Source organism: Homo sapiens, chromosome 4, assembly GCF_000001405.40.
Source record: "Homo sapiens chromosome 4, GRCh38.p14 Primary Assembly".
In the NCBI taxonomy this organism is placed as follows: Eukaryota; Metazoa; Chordata; class Mammalia; order Primates; family Hominidae; genus Homo; species Homo sapiens.
In genome coordinates this window covers 150,795,890-150,816,899 of record NC_000004.12, presented here as the reverse complement: position 1 = coordinate 150,816,899, position 21,010 = coordinate 150,795,890, and the positions used below count along the sequence as shown (strand labels likewise).

General features: G+C 34.0%; 1 protein-coding gene across 9 annotated transcripts in view; it reads left to right on the top strand.

Moving 5' to 3' along the window:
• Positions 1-21,010, top strand: part of LRBA (LPS responsive beige-like anchor protein) — a 751,293-nt gene that overhangs the window by 198,828 nt on the left and 531,455 nt on the right. For all 9 annotated transcript variants that reach the window (XM_047416462.1, NM_001367550.1, NM_006726.5 and 6 more), the window contains exons 32-34: positions 8,502-8,580; positions 10,496-10,629; positions 18,758-18,819. In XM_047416462.1, coding sequence (XP_047272418.1) covers positions 8,502-8,580; positions 10,496-10,629; positions 18,758-18,819 — 275 coding nt within the window. The remainder of the gene's footprint in view (positions 1-8,501; positions 8,581-10,495; positions 10,630-18,757; positions 18,820-21,010) is intronic.

Here is a 21,010-nt window from a genome sequence, read left to right as displayed (position 1 = left end):
TAGATGCTGCTAGTTGGGTAGATGAGTGCATGGATGAATGATAGATTCATAAAAATATTTTTTTCCTTTATTTTCTTTCCCTGCACTTAAGAAGATGTATATAGATAGTGGCCTAAATAAGAAAGTCTTGTTGACATGTAATCTTTTAATGTGGTTACTGGTTGTCAAATATTTTGGACTGTACAAAAAAAAAATATTTATATAGTGTCCAATACTTTGTTTTTTTTGGCATATTTTTTTGAATTAGAGGCTTGGAAAGGAATGCTGCTCTGAAGTGTAGCATCATTCTAACAATGGTCATACTGGTTCATTTCCTCCTATAGCACTTTTATTTTTGTCCATCTCTCCTTCTACATTCTTTCCATGTTTAAAAGCATATATATGGATAAAAAATTATTTCCATGTATAAAAGCATATATATGGATGCAAGATCCTATACATTGATGGGAAGCTTAATGGTGATACTGGGTAAACTTGAATAATGTGAAGAATGTGCAGTATTAAAATGACCAAGTATAACAAAAGGGATGTTACTGTATCAGTGGTTTTCTTCTGGATATTTTGCTGTTTCTTAAAGTTAATAACAAGATATTGTACCTACCAAAACACTCATCTTATGATTCTAGGTTGAGATTGACGGAAAATAAAGGAATTTTGAAGGAATGGCCTGGTGGATTATATTGAGATCAGAAATAATGCCGTTACTTCTTTTGGGATATCTCAGGCCAGGGTTTGCCTTCTATTCTGCTGTTCCACCTTTATTTGGCAAATTAGCATATCTTGGAGAGTTTTGTTCCAAACTTGATATTGCTACTGGCCAGTAGCTGGGAATTTTTTTCCTTGATGTGTACTATGTAATCATGTATCCTAGAAACAAATACTATGTTTATTTCTTTTGTCTTCTCTTTTATTTGTTATTGTGCTTGTGTTAACAAAAATACATTTTATAAGAAGTTTTAAATGTATTTAATTTTTTTACAAATTTTATAGTATTTAGTGAATAGAGAAAATGTTCCAGTAGGTTAAGTAAAAGAAAGTTATATGCAATTCTTTACGTACTGTATAATTACAACCAAGTGACTTATCTACCTTCTTTACATGGTAAAAGCAAGAAAGTGTATTATGAAGTCATTTGGATCTCCATGAAGTTGGGCTACTGGCAATTTTGATTTTCGAAATTTACTTTAGGTGGCATTTCTAACATTTAATTAATAGTCTTGTATTATTTTTATTCTTAGGAAAAATAGTGATTAGAATTTTTTTTCTAGTTTGAAACCAAAAGCTGCGATGGTAGCAGAGTTTTGTCTGCCTTGCTTTTTATTTTATAATTTTTTCCAAAAATTAATAGACTTTATTTTTTAGATCAGTTTTAAGTTTACAGGAAAATTGAGTTTGAAGTACAGAGAATTCTCAAATACCCTGTCATTCTCTCCCTCGCTGGTTTCCCCTGGCCCAGTGAGAATTACAAAGGAAAATGGGCATGAAACTCTAGCAAATTTTTCATCTTTATTGTTCCATTATACTCTGATGCCTCTTTTTTTTTTTTCCTTTGGAGAAGAAATAATTTGGTAATTCATTTGGAGCTGGGTATGCACATTTCCGCTTCTCCACCCCCATCCAAAGTCCTTTAAAAAAAAAGAATCAACTGTGGTTTTTCTAGAGTAGTCCCTTTTGTGAAAAATGCAATAGTTATTAATATCTATGAAATGATTTACCTGCCGTCTTTTAAATTCAGGTATAGTAAATTTTTCATTAACATCCAAAATCAAATGTAGTTTCAGAAATTCAAAGTACATTGAGTAAAATATTTTCTTATACTGCCCTCTAGTTTCAGTTTAGGAACAGAGGAAATAGGACCCTTTGATTGCTTTTAAGTCTATTCTTTAAAATTTAAGTCTTGGAGTTTTCAGAAGAGATAAGAAACAGCTGAGACATATGGGTAATATTTTACATGTAACAGTATTATACATTTCTCTCTGAAACCATTGTATTTTTTCCAATAAATTCATTGTAATTTAAAATATTCACTTTGAAAAACTGTATGCAGAATTATAAAACAATTTGCTATCTTGAAGACTGTTACATTTATTGGCAAAATCTACAAAACCCTATACCATTGATCCAGCTCATAATGTATCTTATTTTTCTATTGTTTAAATTTTGTATAATTTGTGATGGAGTTTCTCAAATAGTTACCAATTTTTTTTTCCATCTTGAGCTAGAATTTTAAACTTTTTTCCCCTCCTTAGCCCCCCCCATTTTTAAAAAAACAGTTATTGCTTTTTCAGTTATTTCAAGTCTTCCTTGTGATGATGGTCTTTCTGTTTACCATTTGTTTTGGTTTCCACATCTGACTCTTCTTTTTCCTCTTTCACTGTGTTCTTGTTACTGTCATATGGGTTCTCTATTTCAGTGTATTGCTTCTATTTTATTCCGTTAATTGATGCCATGAACATTACTGCCTTGATAAGAAAAATCTAACCTAATCTAGTGTTTTTGGTTGTCCTGCTTCTTACTCTTCTGCCGCCCCACTTTACATGCTTTTGCCTACTATACTTGCCCTTGTACTTGTTAGTACTCATTTTCACATGGAAACTACCCCAACCTCCCAAATAGTTCTCTTTCCCTTGTCAGTATTTTTTTAACTGTTAAATTTTTGTTTTCTTTTTGGTGGGTCTCTCGATTTAAGTTATCTGCCATTAAAATAAGTAGATAAATATATAGATGGTTCCATCTTAACAATTTTTTGACTTTATAATGGTGTGAAAGCAATACACATTCAGTAAAAACTGTACCTCAAGTATCCGTATGACCATTCTATTTTTCACTTTCAATACAATATTTAGTAAATTATGTGATATATCCAATACCTTCTTATAAAATAGGCTCTGTTAAATGCATTTGTGACTTAGAATATAGATGCTCCTTGACTTATGATGGGGTTACATCATGATAAACCATTGTAAGGTGAAAATATTGAAAATTGAAAATGCATTTAATGCACCTAACTTACCAAACAACATAGCTTAATCTACCCTATCTTAAATGTGCTCAGAACACTTACATTATCCTACAGTTGGGCAAAAAATTTACTTGATAGAAAATATGAAGTTTCTTCTGTGACATTCATATTTTCTGTTATATATTCACATGATATCTTCAAGGAAATTCCCATTTGTGGATATTTGGAAATTTTGATATCAAAATGAGACACATTTTACATGTGGTACAATTAAAGAGAAACTAGTACTAGATAGATAATAATCACAGAAACAGAGTTAAAACTTGCCAGCTTTATATGAGGTCCAAGCTTTTTCTATGAAAATATTATCACTGAAAAATTTTATAACCCATAAAAATTGAGAATTTGTTTGCATTTTGAAATAGTATACATTATTAAGACTGTAATTAACATACAAAACTTTTTTGGTGTACAAATTTCAAATTTCAAATTTTAATTTGAATAGTATACCTTAGCTTATGCAGCATTTTATCAACCAAAAGGACTAGTCTAAGAGCAACAATTGTATCTTCTAATTAATAAGTATTAAAAGATATTCATCAGAGGATAAGGCATATCCTTGTATATGCATGTTTTCAAAGAAAAGCGAAAGTGATTTTAGTAAATATATCAAAATCTAGAAATTTTATAGTCATCAGCAAAGATCTGATTACCTAGAATACAGTATCCTTTCTTTTTTCTTTTCTTTCTTTCTTTCTTTCTTTTTTTTTTTTTTTAATTGAGACAGGGTCTGTCTTTGTTTCCCAGGCTGGAGTGCAGTGGCACAATCATAGCTCAACTGCAGCCTTGAACTCCTGGGCTTGAGTGATCCTCCTGCTTCAGCTTCCCAAGTAGCCAGAACTACAGGTGTGTGTCACCATTCCTGGCTAATTTTAAAATTTTTGTAGAGACAGAGTCTTGTTCTATTGCCCAGACAAGCCTTGAAGTCCTGGCTTCAAGTGATCCTTCCACTTTCACCCATATCCCTTCTTGTATGTTAAAATATCATTATTCTTTTTCCAATATGCTGTTTCTCTATATTGCAAAGCATAAATGAATAAATCAAAATTGAAACTAGCTCAATAGTGGAACTAAGTATACTGTTCACTAATTTATATGCCTGGTGTTTGCTATTTTGCAAAATTTAGTAATTCTACCACTTACTAGAATATTAGACAGTATCTGTTTATCAGAGCCATATACATTATTAATTAGTACTTTTTTAATATTAGGGAAATATTTGAGTCATAACCATCTTTGCTTTGTGTAAGATTTAGGCCAATAGGCTTATTTTTATTCATTCAATAGGATTTGTTTAATTAGTTTTTACTGGGCATGTAGACTATCCCAGGCTGAATTAACTGGTTCAGAAAAGAGAGAGAGAAATGCAGTGCTAAAGTGTTTAGGGGTTAAAAATTGGCATTTGTTTTAATGATTCTTTATTGCAAGGGACATTAGTTATTTAGACCCGCAGGGACCTTAAATAAACAATTGCCTACTCCCCAGATAGATGCTAGACAGATGATATATTTGCATTTTCCTTTTTGTTCTTTTGAATGTCTGGAAAACTGTCAGTTAGAAGGAGCCAGTTTATCAGTGCTAGGATAAGGAAAAGATAAGTGAGTATCATTCCACATGTAGGAGGTAGCTTCTGCATTTATGTATTTGTGATCATTTGCTGGAAATATTTAATGATAATTTAAAACAAATTGATTGAAAGTTTATATTTTTACCTGAGTTGAAAAAATACAGAATGTGTTTGGATATTACATTTTTTTCCACAGCAGGAATGGAGGACAACCTAGTGTGAAATTACTGGTGTATTTAGTTTATTCTTTCATGTGATTTTTTTCTTATAACTATTGCTGGTTAATTTATTATCCGTGTTGGTAAAGTGTCTTCTTATGACTTAAGACACTGTAAAAAATCTCTTTCTGCTATATTCTCTTTTAGAATTGAAAATTGGCATTACTTCTAGGGTAGTGTGAGGAAATAATTTTTGTTACTGCTTTATTTAGAAGTAACAATGTTGCTTTTCTTTTTCACATTTCTAATATGCATTTCTCATTAAAATTAGTATCATTTAGCACAGTGGGCAGGGTGTGGTGATTTACACCTGTAGTCCCAGCACTTTGAGAGGCTGGGGTGGAAGAATCACCTGAAGCCAGGAGTTCAAGACTAGCCTGGACAACAAAGTGAGACCTTATCTCTACAAGAAATTAAAAAAAATTAGCTGAACGTGGTGGTACATGCCTGTAATCTCACCTACTCAGAAGGCTGAGACAGGAGGATTACTTGAGTCCAGGAACTCAGGGCTGTGGTGAGCTATGATCACACCAGTACACTCCAGCCTGGGCAATAGAGCAAGACCTCGTCTCTTAAAACAAAAAACAAAAAACCCAATAAACCAGTTAACACAGTAAAGACTAATTTTGCCTAAAGCCTCATGCACACCCCCTTTTTTTTTTTTTCCTAAAGCCTCATGCATATGTTTTCTGGGGAGGGATTTATTTTTTCCATTTCTACTTTTAAGTAAATGGGTCCTTATGTGTTCCTTTGTATTAGCTTCAGAAAAGCTCAAGAAAATCCATCAATAATCCTAATAGAGAAAATGTCTGATACATTGCAATAAAAATGGTCTTCAAAAACTATCACCAATTAAGAAAACAGAACTATTTAATTAATCACTGGTAACAGTCAATGACCCACTGTGATTCAGTGATCATATAGTTGTCAAGAACTTAGAAAATTGCAGGTGTCATTTACTGAGTTTAATAAAGCCATTGGGTCTGTGAAGTACTTTACTGAGTGTTGTATATGATTTTAGGATTGGACCTGACTCTTAGAAGTGCCAGATACCAAAGGGTGAAAAAATGTTTTTGAACTTCCCTGGTCTTGCCCTCTAATTTGAAATTTTATTGTGAAAAACACAAAAATAGCAATATTTTTATGATGAAATGTGAATTGATATTTATGCTTTTAAAAATTGTCACAATGGGCTGGGCATGGTGACTCACACCTATAACCCTCGCACTTTGGGAGGCCAAGGCCAAAGGATTGCTTGAGACCAAGAGTTCGAGACCCGCCTGGGCAACATAATGAGACCCTGTCTCTACAAAAAAAATAGAAAATAGCCAGGTGTGGTGGCATCCACCTATATTCCCAGCTACTTGGGAGGCTGAGGCAGGAAGACGGCTTGAGTCCAGGAGTTCAAGGCTGCAGTGAGCTCTGATCACACCACTGCACTCCAGCCTGGGTGAGAGAGCAAGACCCTCTCTCAAAAAAAGAAAAATAAAAAATAATTGTCAGCATGATGAAGTGTGTGCTTTAGCTTCATTTTTAAACGAATCCTATGCGTCCTGACCAACAGTCACTTGGTTAGAGTTTTTAGGTACAGTTAGATCTCAGTTGAGCAGGATGGTGAGGAAGGCAGGACTGTAAGCAATACAAAACTTCCGGTATATAAAGGAAAGTCAACTTTGATTATCAAGGGAATGGGAAAGGAAATATGTTGTGGAAAAGAAAGATTAACTACAGTTAAGTTCATTTTGTACTAGGTATGTGCTCACTCTAAGGGGTGGGCTCAGTAATTATCCAGAGGTTAATTGTGGAAGATTGCTGCATTGCCTGCTTTCCAAAAGGAACCAAGCTTGTTGGGGGGCCAAATTGTCTAGATTTTTGGATCCTTAGATTTGACTGAGACCTGGTAATCAGAACTGAGGGTTATTGATCAAGTACTGCCTAAAAACCAAGCATGTTTCAGGAAAGTTCAAAATTGCCTCAGATCCTTGCTGTTTTTTATTCAGTTATATCCACAAATCTTCTGATTAGGTCCTGGCTATGCTTATCTATATCCAGAATTAACCTTATTTGCCTTACCAAAAAGAGCACATTGAATCAGAATTCCTAGATACAATTGAAGTGAGCTTGAGGAAGTTCTGGGAGTGGTGTGAAGCAGAGGGAAGTATCGTATCGTATCGTATCGTATCGTATCGTATCGTATCGTATCGTATCGTATCGTATCGTATCGTATCGTATCGTATCGTATTTTAAGACAGGGTCTTGCTTTGTCACTCAGGCTAGAATGCAGTAGTGCAGTCTTGGCACACTGCAACCTCTGCCCTCTAGGCTCAAGTGATCCTTGAGCTGGGACCTAGCTGGGACCACAGGCACACACAACCATTCCTGGCCACTTTGTTGTATTTTTAGTAGAGACGGGCATTGCTGTGTTTCACAGGCTAATCTTGAACTCCTGAGCTCAAGCAGTCCTCCTGTCTTGGCCTCCCAAAGTGTTGGGATTACTGGCGTGAGCCACTGCACCTGGCCAAAAATGGCAATTCTTTTTTTTGAGACGGAGTTTCACTTTCTTACCCAGGATGGAGTACAATGGTATTTGATCAGTGGGAGCCCCTTCAAGCTGGCTTCATTGTCCTTTGACATAACCTTATTCCTTGTATATATCTTATCATTCCTTGCTTTCTACAAAGCATAACTAGATGTTTCAAACTCATTTTGTGCTTTTCTTACACAGATCTTGAATCAGCCATTTCTTTCTTTTAGTGGAGTATAGTATTTAGAAACCAAGATCTGGACACCAAGTGTTAAGATGCTGCTGCTTCCGTGTCCTCTTAGTGGACAGAGCTAGAGGCAGTGTGTGTGTTTGTGTGTGTGTATGTTTGTATATAAAAGTCTATAAAAATATATACTGTCATTCACATATTATTTCCATCCTTTATTGGAACCATGAATTCATATAGATATGAATTCTACAATTCTCAGTTTTCTCTTTTCCTTGGATTTCCTCCTCACACTGGCTCCAATAACTTTCTCTGGGCCAACACAACCTCCAGCCTGATGCAGATGCTTTCCTTGATGTGTTTCTAATCACTTTTGGACTGAAAGATTCAACAATCTTTGGGAAAGAGGGCCCTTATTCTCTTTAAAGCATAGTGTTTTTGTATTTGGGGCATAAGGGGAAAATAACTGATAATAGTTGTGATACAAGATTACAGATTCTCAGAGATCTAGGCTTCTAACCCTGATTACATTTATTGCTACAATTTAGTCCTTTAGTAGTGATTTGATAACTGAATACGGATAGTTTTCATGGTAATGGAGGTTTAAAGCTAAATTTGGAATGTAGCTGTTTCTGTGTTTTTGCTATGTTAAGAAAATGCTTTTACTTGTAACTTTCTGTTGACACTTGGTGTTGAGTAGAAGGAATTGTGAACCTTATTTAGGGAGTCAGAATTTACTTTTCTCTTGCTTCTTCAGCTCATGGATAGAAAGATTGCTCTGGCATGATAATTGAGCTTGTAGCTGAGGTTTATATATGAAAGCATTTAGTTGTTAATTGTTAGATTTTAATGTTATCCAAATAGTAATGGACATAAAAATACGTTATAATGCTTTTATTGACTGGTATAATGACATTCTTTTTATTTAAATCTTCATATCTAAAAGCAGAAAATTCCTATAGATGGTTATTTTTCTTTTATAGGCAGTAGATCATCTAATGCAAAATTGCCCTCAGTTCCAACAGTTGATTCAGTTTCACAAGATCCGGTTTCAAATATGAGGTATTTAAGCTACTAACTTGAATATTGTGATTTATACCTTTTGATGACTTTTTAAGCTATCTAGGTTTATTTTACTTCGTTTCATTTCATTTCATTTCATTTCTTTCTTTCAACATATATGACATTTAGAGGCTTGGGAACATTTTAGAAGTTCATTTTCTTTTGAAAGATTATAAGATGTACAAGTCATTTGATGATGTACAAGTCATTTCATGATGTACAAGTCACTTCATGAGAAGTGACTATTTGTGGTAAAAAAATAATTGCTGCATGCATAACAAATATTTACATAAGCTTATGACTTTCTTTCAAATGATTGCAAATTGAAAGTGTGGAATTTGTTGTTTCTCCTCTATAAAATACTGATATAGGCCAGGTGCGGTGGCTCACGCCTGTAATCCCAGCACTTTGAGAGGCTGAGGCAGGCGGATTACTTGAAGTCAGGAGTTCAAGATCAGCCTGGCCAACATGGTGAAAACTCATCTCTACTAAAAATATTAAAAAAAATTAGCTAGGTGTGGTGGTGCACACCTTTAGTCCCAGCTACTCGGGATGCTGAGGCAGGAGAATCACTTGAACCCGGGAGGCAGAGGCTGCAGTGAGCCGAGATCGCACCACTGCACTCCAGCCTGGGAGACAGAGTGAGACTCCATCTCAACAACAACAACAACAACAACAACAACAACAACAAAATGCTGATATAAGTGATAGCCAGTCAGCCAAAGCCACAATAATACTGAATTGTAGATAGATTTTTATTGTTACTTACCTTGTTTAATTGGGTTTCAGAGTTTAATTTCGAATGCTTTGAGTGTATTTTCCACCACTGGAGACTTAGTGTCCAGAGAGTCCTTGATTTTCTTTACCACAATTGGGAAATCCATTAGACACTACAAATGTAGGTACTTGAGTGCTTCGAGTATAGCTAGTATTTGTGATACTCTTCAGGGATAACAAGTTCTATGAGTTGTGTGGAAGAAAATAGTATTTAGAGCAGTGCCTGTGAGGAGATGGTTATTCACAGCAAAAATTTATATATGTTTGTGTTGATAGTTTCAGTAGCAACTGTCTTCTTGGTAGTATGAATAGGAAGTACTCCTAGTGTTAATAGTAGATAACTAGTGGCTCTTTATGTATATGTTTAATTTGTAAGTTAGAAACTAAAGCTGTGGATATCTGTGAATTATCTGAAATGCTGGGGACCTTAAAAAAAAAACCCTCATTAAATGTATCTGTGTATGTATACATGAATACATGTATATATAATCACAAATATATATTAATATATTTTTATATATTTATAGGTACATTTACAACTATCTCAGTTTATTAATAAATATAACTATCAACCAAATGATAGTTTTGTTATAATGTGCCTATAAAGTATATTATTTTCAGGAGAAAAATCATTCACATTGCATTAGAAAGGAATAATTGACTTCAATAAAAAAGAACTGCTTTTTATAATTTATAAGCACTCAACGTCTGTTGAGTCTATACTATATGCTATAACTGTGAATTTTAAAATGAAGTCATGGTTCTTGAACTCAGTGTGCTAATGGTTTAGTGGTAAATAGAAAAATTTGTTGAAGACTTGATGAGAGTTTGTTTAGATTATAATGGGCCTAAAAACAAACTGCTCTTAACTGGCCAGGTGAGACTTGTAGTAAGTACTGATGCTTGGAGTGGTTGTTAACCAGGTTGTTTGTTGGAGATTGTAGGGGCAAGATAGATCAGGATAAAAACGAATATTTTTGGCAGAAGGACTGCTATGCATAGCAGTAATGTCTCTTTAGGTGATTTTTAATTTTTTTAAATAATTATATATATATATGGAAATACATCTTTATTTTCAAAACTAGAAAATTGATACAATCTGTTGAATAGTTCAAGTAACTTAATGTCTTTTCCTTAGTATTACAGAGAGGCTTGAACACGCTTTGGAAAAGGCAGCTCCTCTCCTTCGTGAGATTTTTGTGGATTTTGCACCTTTTCTTTCTCGGACACTTTTGGGTAGCCATGGACAAGAACTGCTTATAGAAGGAACAAGTAAGTGGTTTTTCTTTATTTTATTTGTATGTATTTATATTTCAGGATTAAAAACTTACATGGATAATGAAATAACATGGAGTTTCATTGTTTAAGTGTTGTCAGCCTTTGACAAGGTTTCTCATAGGCTATCTTTTGAAGACTGTGTCACATGTCTATTATGTTGTAATCTTCAAGATTTTTATCAGTGATTTGGATGGAGCGTAGAATTATGTGTTGAACCAAAGAACTAAGACTTTTTTTTTTTTTTGATACATTAAAATTAATTTTGAGAGCAAAGAATTGGAGAGACTAGTGTCACAGGATTTTACTTGAACTTAGATCCATATGAACAACAATGTATTGCCACACAGATAAGGAATGCATTGTTATTTGTAGAATTCTGTTTTACAAATAGAGATAACAGCATTTTACTCTATACTGCTTACGTCATTCATAGATTCCTGGGTCTCTTCTAGGTAGTGTACTTTGAGATTGTCAAACTAGATAGCATGCTGAGGTAGGTTGCTGAGGGGATTGGAAACCATGCTATTTATGGAGTGGATGAGGAATAATGGGTCCTTTCCTTCTCCTTCTCCTTTCCTTTCCTTTCGTTTCTTTTCCTTTCCTTCTCCCTTCCTTTCCTTTCCTTTCCTTCTCCTTCTCCTTTCCTTTCCTTTCCTTTCTTTTCCTTTCCTTTCCTTTCCTTTCCTTTCCTTTCCTTTCCTTTCCTTTCCTTTCCTTTCCTTCTCCCTTCCTTTCCTTTCCTTTTCCTTTCCTTCTCTTTCTCCTCCTTCTCCTTTCCTTTCCTTTCCTTTCCTTTCCTTTCCTTTCCTTTCCTTTCCCTTTCCTTCCTTTCCTTTCCTTTCCTTTCCCTTCCTTTCCTTTTCCCTTCCTTTCCTTTCCTTTTCCCTTCCCTTCCTTTCCTTTCCTTTTCTTTCCTTCTCCTTCTCCTTTCCTTTCCTTTCCTTTCCTTTCCTTTCCTTTCCTTTCCTTTCCTTTCCTTCTCCTTTCCTTTCCTTTCCTTCTCGTTTCCTTCTCCTTTCCTTCTCCTTTTCCTTTCCTTTCCTTTCCTTCCTTCCTTCCTTCCTTCTGCCTTCCTTCCTTCCTTTTTTTTTTCTTTTTGCGCATGGAGCATTGCCATGTAGTGAGTGCCTTCGAATATTAGAGAGAGTGACTTAACCAAGTGAAAGTAGATTTACCGTAAATTTCCTCAGAAAACAGATTGCAGTTCAATAGAGGATAATTTCTTAAATAATGAGTTGAAGAGTTTATCAGACTGACTTCAAAATACCAATCTTCATCTTCGTACCTAGGATTTATTTTTTATTTTATTTTGTTTTTGAAGAGACAGAGTCTTGCTTTGTTGTGTAGGCTGGAGTGCAGTGTACTGGCAAGATTGAACCCTACCTTGGCCTTCTGAGTTGCTGGGATTACAGGTGTGAGCCACTGCACCTGACCTCATAACTAGGATTTTTTAAGGTGAAGCTACAGGGCTTTTTATAAATGATGATATAGAATTAATTTTTGCATTCAAAAGTGCTTGGATTAGGTGGTTGCTAAATCTGGCTTTTTTTGGGCCCGTGATTGATGGTTTAGGATAATATACTTGTATTCTCCTCAAACTGAAAAATCATGGGAATGACACTCCCATCTGTATTCCAGTGTCTTTAAGTATCAACTGGCAGCTTTAGTTATTGTAATCTTTTGTTGACTAACAGTAGCTAGGAGATGGTCTGAGGAATTTTTTAAAAACCTGTGAAAAAGCATCTCTCTTGTAGCAATAAGGATATAATGGAAATGCAAGGTTATAGGTAGGCTAATAGTTTAAGATATCTATATTTGAGTATTAACTGTGCAATATGAGCACTTCGTTTGACCCTTACAATATCAGTAGGTACATATGAAGCTTTAGTTAGGAATTTCATCTCTTCTATAGATGTAAATGGAGTTGGTGATGAGCGATATTATTTTCATGCAGTCAAAAAGTAACAATGAGTTTATTTGAAAAAGAAAGTTCAGATTTTAGAAGTACTTAAGTTTGGAATAGCAATTTCCTTAGATCTATTGAAGGATATAATTTATTTAGCTATGAACTATTTGATGAAGTAATGAATGACTTTTACTTATGAAGTAATATAATTGGAAAAAAATTGAATTTTAAAAATTGAAGAGTCTATATTTCAGGGCTTTTCCCTAATTTATGTTTCATATATGAAACTTTTTTTTTAAATGGTGTAACAACTTATGAACTATGTTTAATTTTATTACAGTGAGTAAGATGTATGTATTAAATACAGCCTCTCAGTATTGCAAGACATTGTTGCTTATTGGTCTTTGAATTTTATAGCAGATAACAAGATAGGATCATGTTAAATACCCAGAAGCATTAGCAATGGACACTTCTATATCCCTGAACAAAATTTAATTTAGAATGATTTTTTACCAATAAATTTTGGTAAAATTGTAAGAAGGAAGAAGGTGTACTATTGCTCATGTATAAATTTGAGCAGTGCCTATTCATTGATGATGTTCATAAAAATAGCAAACAAATCTAAGAGTTCTTATGTAACTTATGTATTTTATGTTGTGAGGAATGTTTTGGATTGTGGTTTCATGTACTGTAAAACAGAAAGGATTTAAAAAGAGGTGATTGTGCCATAGTACTGTATAAGCAGCATAATACTGTACAAAAAGCATTAATATAAAAGGCAGGAGACTTTGGTTTTCATTCTGTCCTTGCCAGTGACTAGCTGTGTGACCAAACATTACAAAGCTTCTTAATTTTTAAAAAAATGCTTATGAGTTTTTTAGTATTAAAAATATTTTAATGAAAATTTCAAATTTTCACAAAAGTAGTAAGTATAGTATCTATGAACTTATTACCAGCTATCCAAACCATATTCATTTTTCCATAATTATTTGATATCTCTACTTCCCTTTATTTTGCTTTAATATTTAAAACTATCTTAGATATTTAAAACTATCTTAGATGTCATGTCATTCAACCCTTGAATACTTAATAGCATGTAAAAAAAGACATTTTCTTACATAATCACAATGCTGCTATTACACCTAATAATAGTAATAGTTTCTTAATGTCGTCTAATACCCAGCCCATATTTATCTTTAAGAAATATATATGTTTATATAGACATATATATATTTGTGTGTGTATATATGTGTGTGTGTGTGTGTGTGTGTGTGTATATATATTTTTTTTTTGTTTGTTTTTGTTTTTGTTTTTAGTTTTTTTTTTTTTTTTTTTTGGAGACAGAGTCTCACCGTGCCACCCAGGCTGGAGTGCAGTGGTGCGATCTTGGCTCACTGCAACCTCTGCCTCCCGAGTTCAAGCAATTCTTGTGCCTCAGTCTCCCTAGTAGCTGTGACTACAGGCATGTGCCACCAAGCTGGCTAAATTTTGTATATTTTGTAGAGATGGGGTTTCGCCACATTGCCCAGGCTGATCTCAAACTCCTGACCCCGAGCAGTCCTCCGGCCTTGCCTCCCAAAGTGCTGGGATTACAGGCCTGAGCCACTGCGTCTGGCCATATGCCCTGTATATTTTGAAGACTTGAAGTTAAAGCTAAAAGTTAAATTAGATGTAATATTTCATATTACATCATGCCTGGAATCACCTGTAGCCTGATTGTCTCAATTGTAATGATGTTAATTAACCCTCTTTTTCAAGTAGTTATAACCCTTTGTAAGGATTAATTTTTCTAAAGAGATTTTCCAAAGAACAAAGAGAACACAAGCTTGAAAATTTTAAATTATGTCTTACAATTATTATATGTGAGTTCACTGGATCCTTTTTATAAATATGATTAATTATAGTCTTAGTGATCTTATTTTTTCTGTATCTTGAAACATTTTGCTATTTCACTATTACACATCAGCTATTCTTTACTATGCTGTGGACTAAAATTAAAAAAAAAAAACCCACGAATGCTAGAATTGCACTTGGAGTGATGGTGCAATAGGAAAAGAAATAATTACTCTTGTTTATTAGCCTCTGTCGTTGTATTGCTTTACCCAAAATTTTGCACTGTGGTTTTTTTTTTTTTTTTTTGAGACTGAGTCTCACTCCTACACCCAGACTGGAGTGCAATGGTGTGATCATGGCTCACTGCAGCCTTGTCTTCCTGGGCTCAGTTGATCCTCCCACCTTAGCCTCTCAAGTAGTTGGGACTACAGGCGCATGTCACCATGCTCGTCTAATGTTTTAAAAAATTTTATTGATTTATTTATTTATTTATTTATTTATTTATTTATTTATTTATTTATAGAGATGGGTTTTGCTGCGTTGCCCAGGCTGTTCTTGAACTTCTGGCCTCAAGTGATCCACCCGCCTTGGCCTCCCAAGATGTTGGGATTACAGGCATGAGCCACTGCACTCTGCCTGCACTGTGTTTTAAGAAAGTATAAACTTGCAGTCTCAATGGGGCAAAAACTTTTTTTGGGGTAGGCAAAAAATATCTTAGATATTACAATGGTTTGTGACCCTCCAAAGGGTCACAGTATCTCTGTACACTCTATGAGCATGTTATTTAGCAGGAAGGACTTCATTGTGCTTAGTTTGTGTGATAACTTGAGACAAGAACCTGGGCCATCCCATTTTTCTAAAAAGACGTGTGGCGGTGTTCTTCCGTCTTGTGGGATGATTATGTACCACAGTTTACTTGATACAGTTTCTAAGTAGATAAATGCTAAAGGCAGGTGTGCATACAATGATGACTAGAAGGAAAAGTTTATATGGAAATAAAAAATTCAGTGGATTGATTATTCTAAATGTTTGCAAATCTGTACAAGAAAATATTTTGCAAGTCTCAAGCAAAGAAGATGTCTGTCCTCTTTAACAAAATTTTTAGTCATCCAATTTTTCCAAAATGTTGGATTGGATGATATAAATTCAGGAAGGAAAACCAGAATTTATGATAAGCTAGAGCCTATTAAACATGTATTTGAAATTTCGACTTAGTGTTTTCAAGATGGTTGTGTTTCAGATTCATCATGAGCATTTAGTTTTATCTAAAAGATAATGCTCATTTGGAGTATATGTATATACCTTCAAAACCAGGAAAATATGGAGTAAAACTTCTTGAGTTTATTATCCTTAAATTCTTATTAAAGTTTCTCATAATGTTTATTGCCATCCTATTTTAAAAAATAAATTATTTAAGGTGACTTAAATACAAAAAACAAGAGGGCTCTTATATTCCAGATAGTAAATAGTCATGACTATTTTTTCATTGTATACTTGAGGATTTAGATAGATCGATGGGTTTAGGTGGCACTGGCTTACTGTCTGGTGAGTCATTTAATCCTTTCACTGAAGTGATATATCTGGGTGAGTCTCCACTGAAGAAATTACAGTGGTCTTTGATCATAAAATTCCAGATTAGTGCAGATATAAAACTCTTGGCTTGGTATCCTGAGTTTGTCCTTTTGAAAAGACTAACATTTTCTACCTTTGAAAAGCCAACCAAAAAATAATCAAACCAAACCCTATTATTCTACTATTCTACTGAGAGTTTTAGAGAGGTCAGATTGTGAGCTGGTTCAAATCTGTAAGCTTGCAGTACTTCGTTTCTTTTGATTGAGACAGTAATAGGGTGTGTGTGTTTGTGGGTGTATAAAATGAAAATGATAGTTCTGGCAGTAACTTACAACTTGACTTTAAGGTTTTAGGGCCTTCCTTTGGATGTTCTTAGAGTATGACTAAATCTGAAGAGAGATTTACAGGTTTATTATTTGTTTTTTTGCACATGTGATGAGTGTCATCCATTGGCAAAAATTTAGGTCAAAAATAGAAGTGACGTAAGTTCTACATTTTGATGTTAAGTTCCTTATTGGGGCTATCCTCTATTTCTTTGCTCCCAATGTTATTTTTGTGTTTACAGTACCAGTGTCCTTTAGACAGGGAACTTAAGGTCTGTTATCAGGTCTCTCTTGTTTTCTGAAGCCCTTACTCATTCGAATTGAACATACTTTCCACCCTGCCCCTGCAATACATCTACCATCACTCTCCTCCACCTTAATTGTTCAAACCGAACTATGAAATGTTATTTGACCTTTTACTAGCTTTGTCAGTGAATATATTTTTTCCTGAATATTCATATCCAACTAGAAAGTAGCTATGAACCTTCTTCTGGTTTGTTAGCCTTTATTATTGGAAAATAAGACTGAAATAAATAAACAGAAATGTGTATGTGTGAAATTTTTCTTAAGACTATATAGGTATATGGGCCAGGTATGGTGGCTCACGCCTGTAATCCCAGCACTTTGGGAGGCCAAGGTTGGCGAATCACCTGAGGTCAGGAGTTCGAGACCAGCGTGGCCAACATGGTGAAACTCCGTCTCTACTAAAACTACAGAAATTAGCCAAGTGTGGTGGTGGGCGCCTGTAATTCCAGCTACTCGGGTGGCTGAGGCAGGAGAATTGATTGAACCTGGGAGGTGGAGGTTGTGGTGAGCTGAGATCGTGCCATTGCACTCCAGCCTGGGTGACAGAGCGAGACAACGTCTCAAAAAATATATATATATGTATATGTATGAAATATGATAAGTGTGGTAAGAGGGACAAAGGAGCACCTATAAATCTCCCTAATTTTGGATAGCTTAAGGTCTTTTTTAAAATTACTATTTTTCATTATCTGAAGAGATGTATAATAAAAGGGCCCATCAGGGCCCAATGGCAGGAATTCTAGTTTCTCTCGAATAAAGCAATAAGGATTAATGACCTAATAATAGAAAGATCTGAATTTACTTTCTGGAAATAATGGGTTTTGAAGTTGGAGCAAAACTGAACTTCTTTTATTATCTGGGTTAAATTTAAGGAAAAATGGCAAGGTTTCAGACCAGCAGAGGGCTACACCTGCAGTAAGAGAGGGAGTATTGCTTGCCTTTTCTTTTGGCCTTGACAGCATTAGCCTGAAGAGCCATGTTCATCTTCGCCCTACAGAAATCACACTGTAGTTAATAATTTGCTTCCTAATACAATATAGAGACATTCTATAGCTAATTTTCTTGCCAGTGCTGACACTGTTACCATCATTTCTATGTTACATATTTTTTCAGACATTGAGAAAAATGGTTCTAACATTTTTTAAAAAACGAAGGGGGTGAACAGCCCTTTTAACTTGAATGCTATTTATAAAGCTAAAAAATGCCAACATGCGCTATCATTAGGTTGGAAGCATTCGTATTTAAACGGGGAAGGAGAAAGAACTAAAGAATAAAAAGACAAAGGGAATGGATAGGGTACCTGGAAGAGTTTTCTTCGGGAGAAAAAAGAAGGCAATAGGATGTTTAAGAGCCATCAGGAATTATTTTAGATGTTATACCCTGGAACCTAAGCCTGTGTTTGCTTAGAAAAATGTCGAATAAAAAAATTGTAATTTTTTTGATTACTAGTAATGCAATTTAATAATTTAGTCCCTTTAATTATTGGCATTGCTTTGTTAAGATACTAATGAACTACTTTATATTTTATTGGTAATTAAAACCAAAGACTTCTTTAAATAGGTATTAATTATATAAAATATCCATTCTAAAGATATTTTTGGTGAACCAAAATGAAACATAAAAGTAAATGAATTAATTTATAAGAAATCAAGAATATATAACAGACAACGGCTTGCATTTCTGTTAAGGTTTAGTGTGAGGTCAGAGGTCAAGGTACTAATAAGAGTGTTTGGGATGTCTGCTGCCATGAAACAAAATGGAAACTTGATTGATAGCTAGAGGGTTGAAGGGAGAGAGTGTAGTGGAGAAAGCAAAGGTCAGGGAGCCATTTCCCTTCTCTGCATGTATAACGATCAACTCTCTCCAAAACAAAATGTAGATGATATTGATCAATATGGCATATGTTGTGCACATTTCTATGAGTATTGTGAATTGTCATTATATATGAAGTTGTAATAAATGTTTTAGTATTTTGAAAGCTGAAATGAAATACTTTACAAAAATGGTGGTAGTTTTGAAGCCAGCTTTGAACTAACTATAGTGTACCTTATTTGATCATGTGATTAAATGTGCACTATTAATAGTCTGAAAAAATAATTTGAAGAAACAGTTTGGATGAAATTGTAACAAATCCTCATTTGTTTTCTTTATAACTTCTTTTTTAAAATTCTCTTTAAAATAGGTCTGGTTTGCATGAAGTCGAGTAGTTCAGTTGTGGAATTGGTTATGCTACTGTGTTCTCAGGTGAGTGGCAAGAATAAATGTTGAATTAAAAGTAGATTATCACATGAATTTGTTTTCATGGGGGATTTTATATTTGCATTACTGAAATTTTTGGTATAATAAAATTGTGAGTTTGCTGTTTTAAAATAATTTTGTTTGTATTGCAAAAGGATTACTTCTTATTTTTGATACTTGCAGATAATTTTGAAGCAAGCATGAGAGGAAGTGAGAAACAAAAGTTTTTAGAGTCACTTTAAAAATGTCCAGATCAAATGATCTTGATAATTTCTTTGCTGTATATATTAAGGTTATAAAAACAGATTTATTTCTATATCTTGTGGAGTGCCACGCTGACTCCACTGGGAATTATGGGTTTACTTCCATTTTGTGCAGAGGTTATAAAATGAGCGATAAATGATTTTGAATCCTTGTCATTGGTAATTATTTTTGACATGCACAGTAGATTTGGGAAAACATTAACAAAAATGTGGCAGCTATCATAATAAGATGTAGAAAATAAATTCCTAAGAGCAAAATTATTTTAGGTGTTCCAAAACCTTGTACCTCATGTGGTAAACTTTAATGATTTTTTTAAAAAAAACTTATATAAAAATCATGTATCCTGTGAGGTTTTCTTTTCTGTTTTGCAATTAAACAGATGAATGTTTTTATTGAGAGTTTTCTTTGTAGTCTTTTAAAGTGATATCTTGGTGGTAGTAAATTCCCCCACTTAAAACTTTAAAATAGCCTTTTTTAATAGGAAAGGTATTGGTCTAGAGGTCAAGGGTTTTGACCCATTTCAAAACCTTTGACCTTCATTTACAACTCTCATGGTTTACTTGCCTAACGAATAAGGATAATGCAAAATTAATGTTTCTTTGCATCGATTTATTTGTTTTAGTGCCTATATGCCAAATTTATTTAGACTGTGCTGATGGACATTTCATGAATATAAATTAAAGAATCATAGAAGGTGTGAAAAATCAATACTATGCATTGTCAATAAGGTGCGATAAGAACAATTACTTCTAGAGATTACACCTAATGGATTTTTGTAATGAACTTGTGAGAAGTAGTTACTTAGTAGGCTTGTGATTCTTAGATTTACTGAGAATCATGTTCTATAATTTAATCATCTCATTTAGAAAACTCCATTTCTTCAAAAGCTGACTAGATAAAATTTCTCATTAAGCCATTTGATTAGAAATAATTGTTTCTTTCTTGGATAGAAATTGCCATATAGCATTCTTATGTCTACATGAAATTGCCCTCACTTTAAAAGAGCATTCTTATGGTTTTGGATGTTTCCTTACAAGAATATAAATTTATTGTTCATAGTGATATAATTATTTCATAGGTGAATTTTCACAATGAAGTTTTACTTTCTAGTTTAGAAGAATCGAATGTATTTTTGGTACATGGAAGCTATTTCCAATATAGTATATTGCATATTTTAATGTTAGGAGCTGCAAAGATAAAGAATGACATGTTTTAATATGCCTATTTATCATGTATGTCACAGTACTGTTTAATACTAATGCAATCAAATGGGATATGAAGATCATATAGTACAGTAAGTTTCAAGTCAGAAATTGTCAAGGTTTTTGTTTGAATAAAATACATTATTGGGTATTTGAAGTCCTTAACATTTTTTGTGAGTTCTTCAAAAGTTCCATGGCATCTCTACAAGATGTAGCACAGTGTGAAAAATGATGTGAAAAATGAAGCTAGAATTAGCTCCAGATGTATACAGATTGTTCTGGGGTGATAATTACATTTTTCACTTTGAATTTTCCTAATTCAAAGAGGTCAACTTGGCAATCACAAAAGTGATTTATTTTGTTAAGAAGTGAACTGTCTTTTTCTACATGAAAGCTTAAGAGATATGAAATTGAATTTCAAGTCGACATTTTACAGATCCTGGGTGGGGATGGCTTGAGTTTGATTGATAATTTTTTTTGGTCTGAGATAGGGTGGGAAGCAAAAGCTACCATCTTGCTAAAATTTTAATTAATTTTTTAAGAGGAGATGGAGAGGACGGAGTGCCAAAGATCGAAAGATCAGGTCAAAAACTACTTTTTAATCACGTAAATAATGGGATATGCTTATGAACTTAACATCTGCAAATTTGATTTAGAACTTTACAAATTAGTTGGTGTTAATTTCATGACAATCAGCCATGCTCTGATTATTTTTCTTGAATCCATTCAAA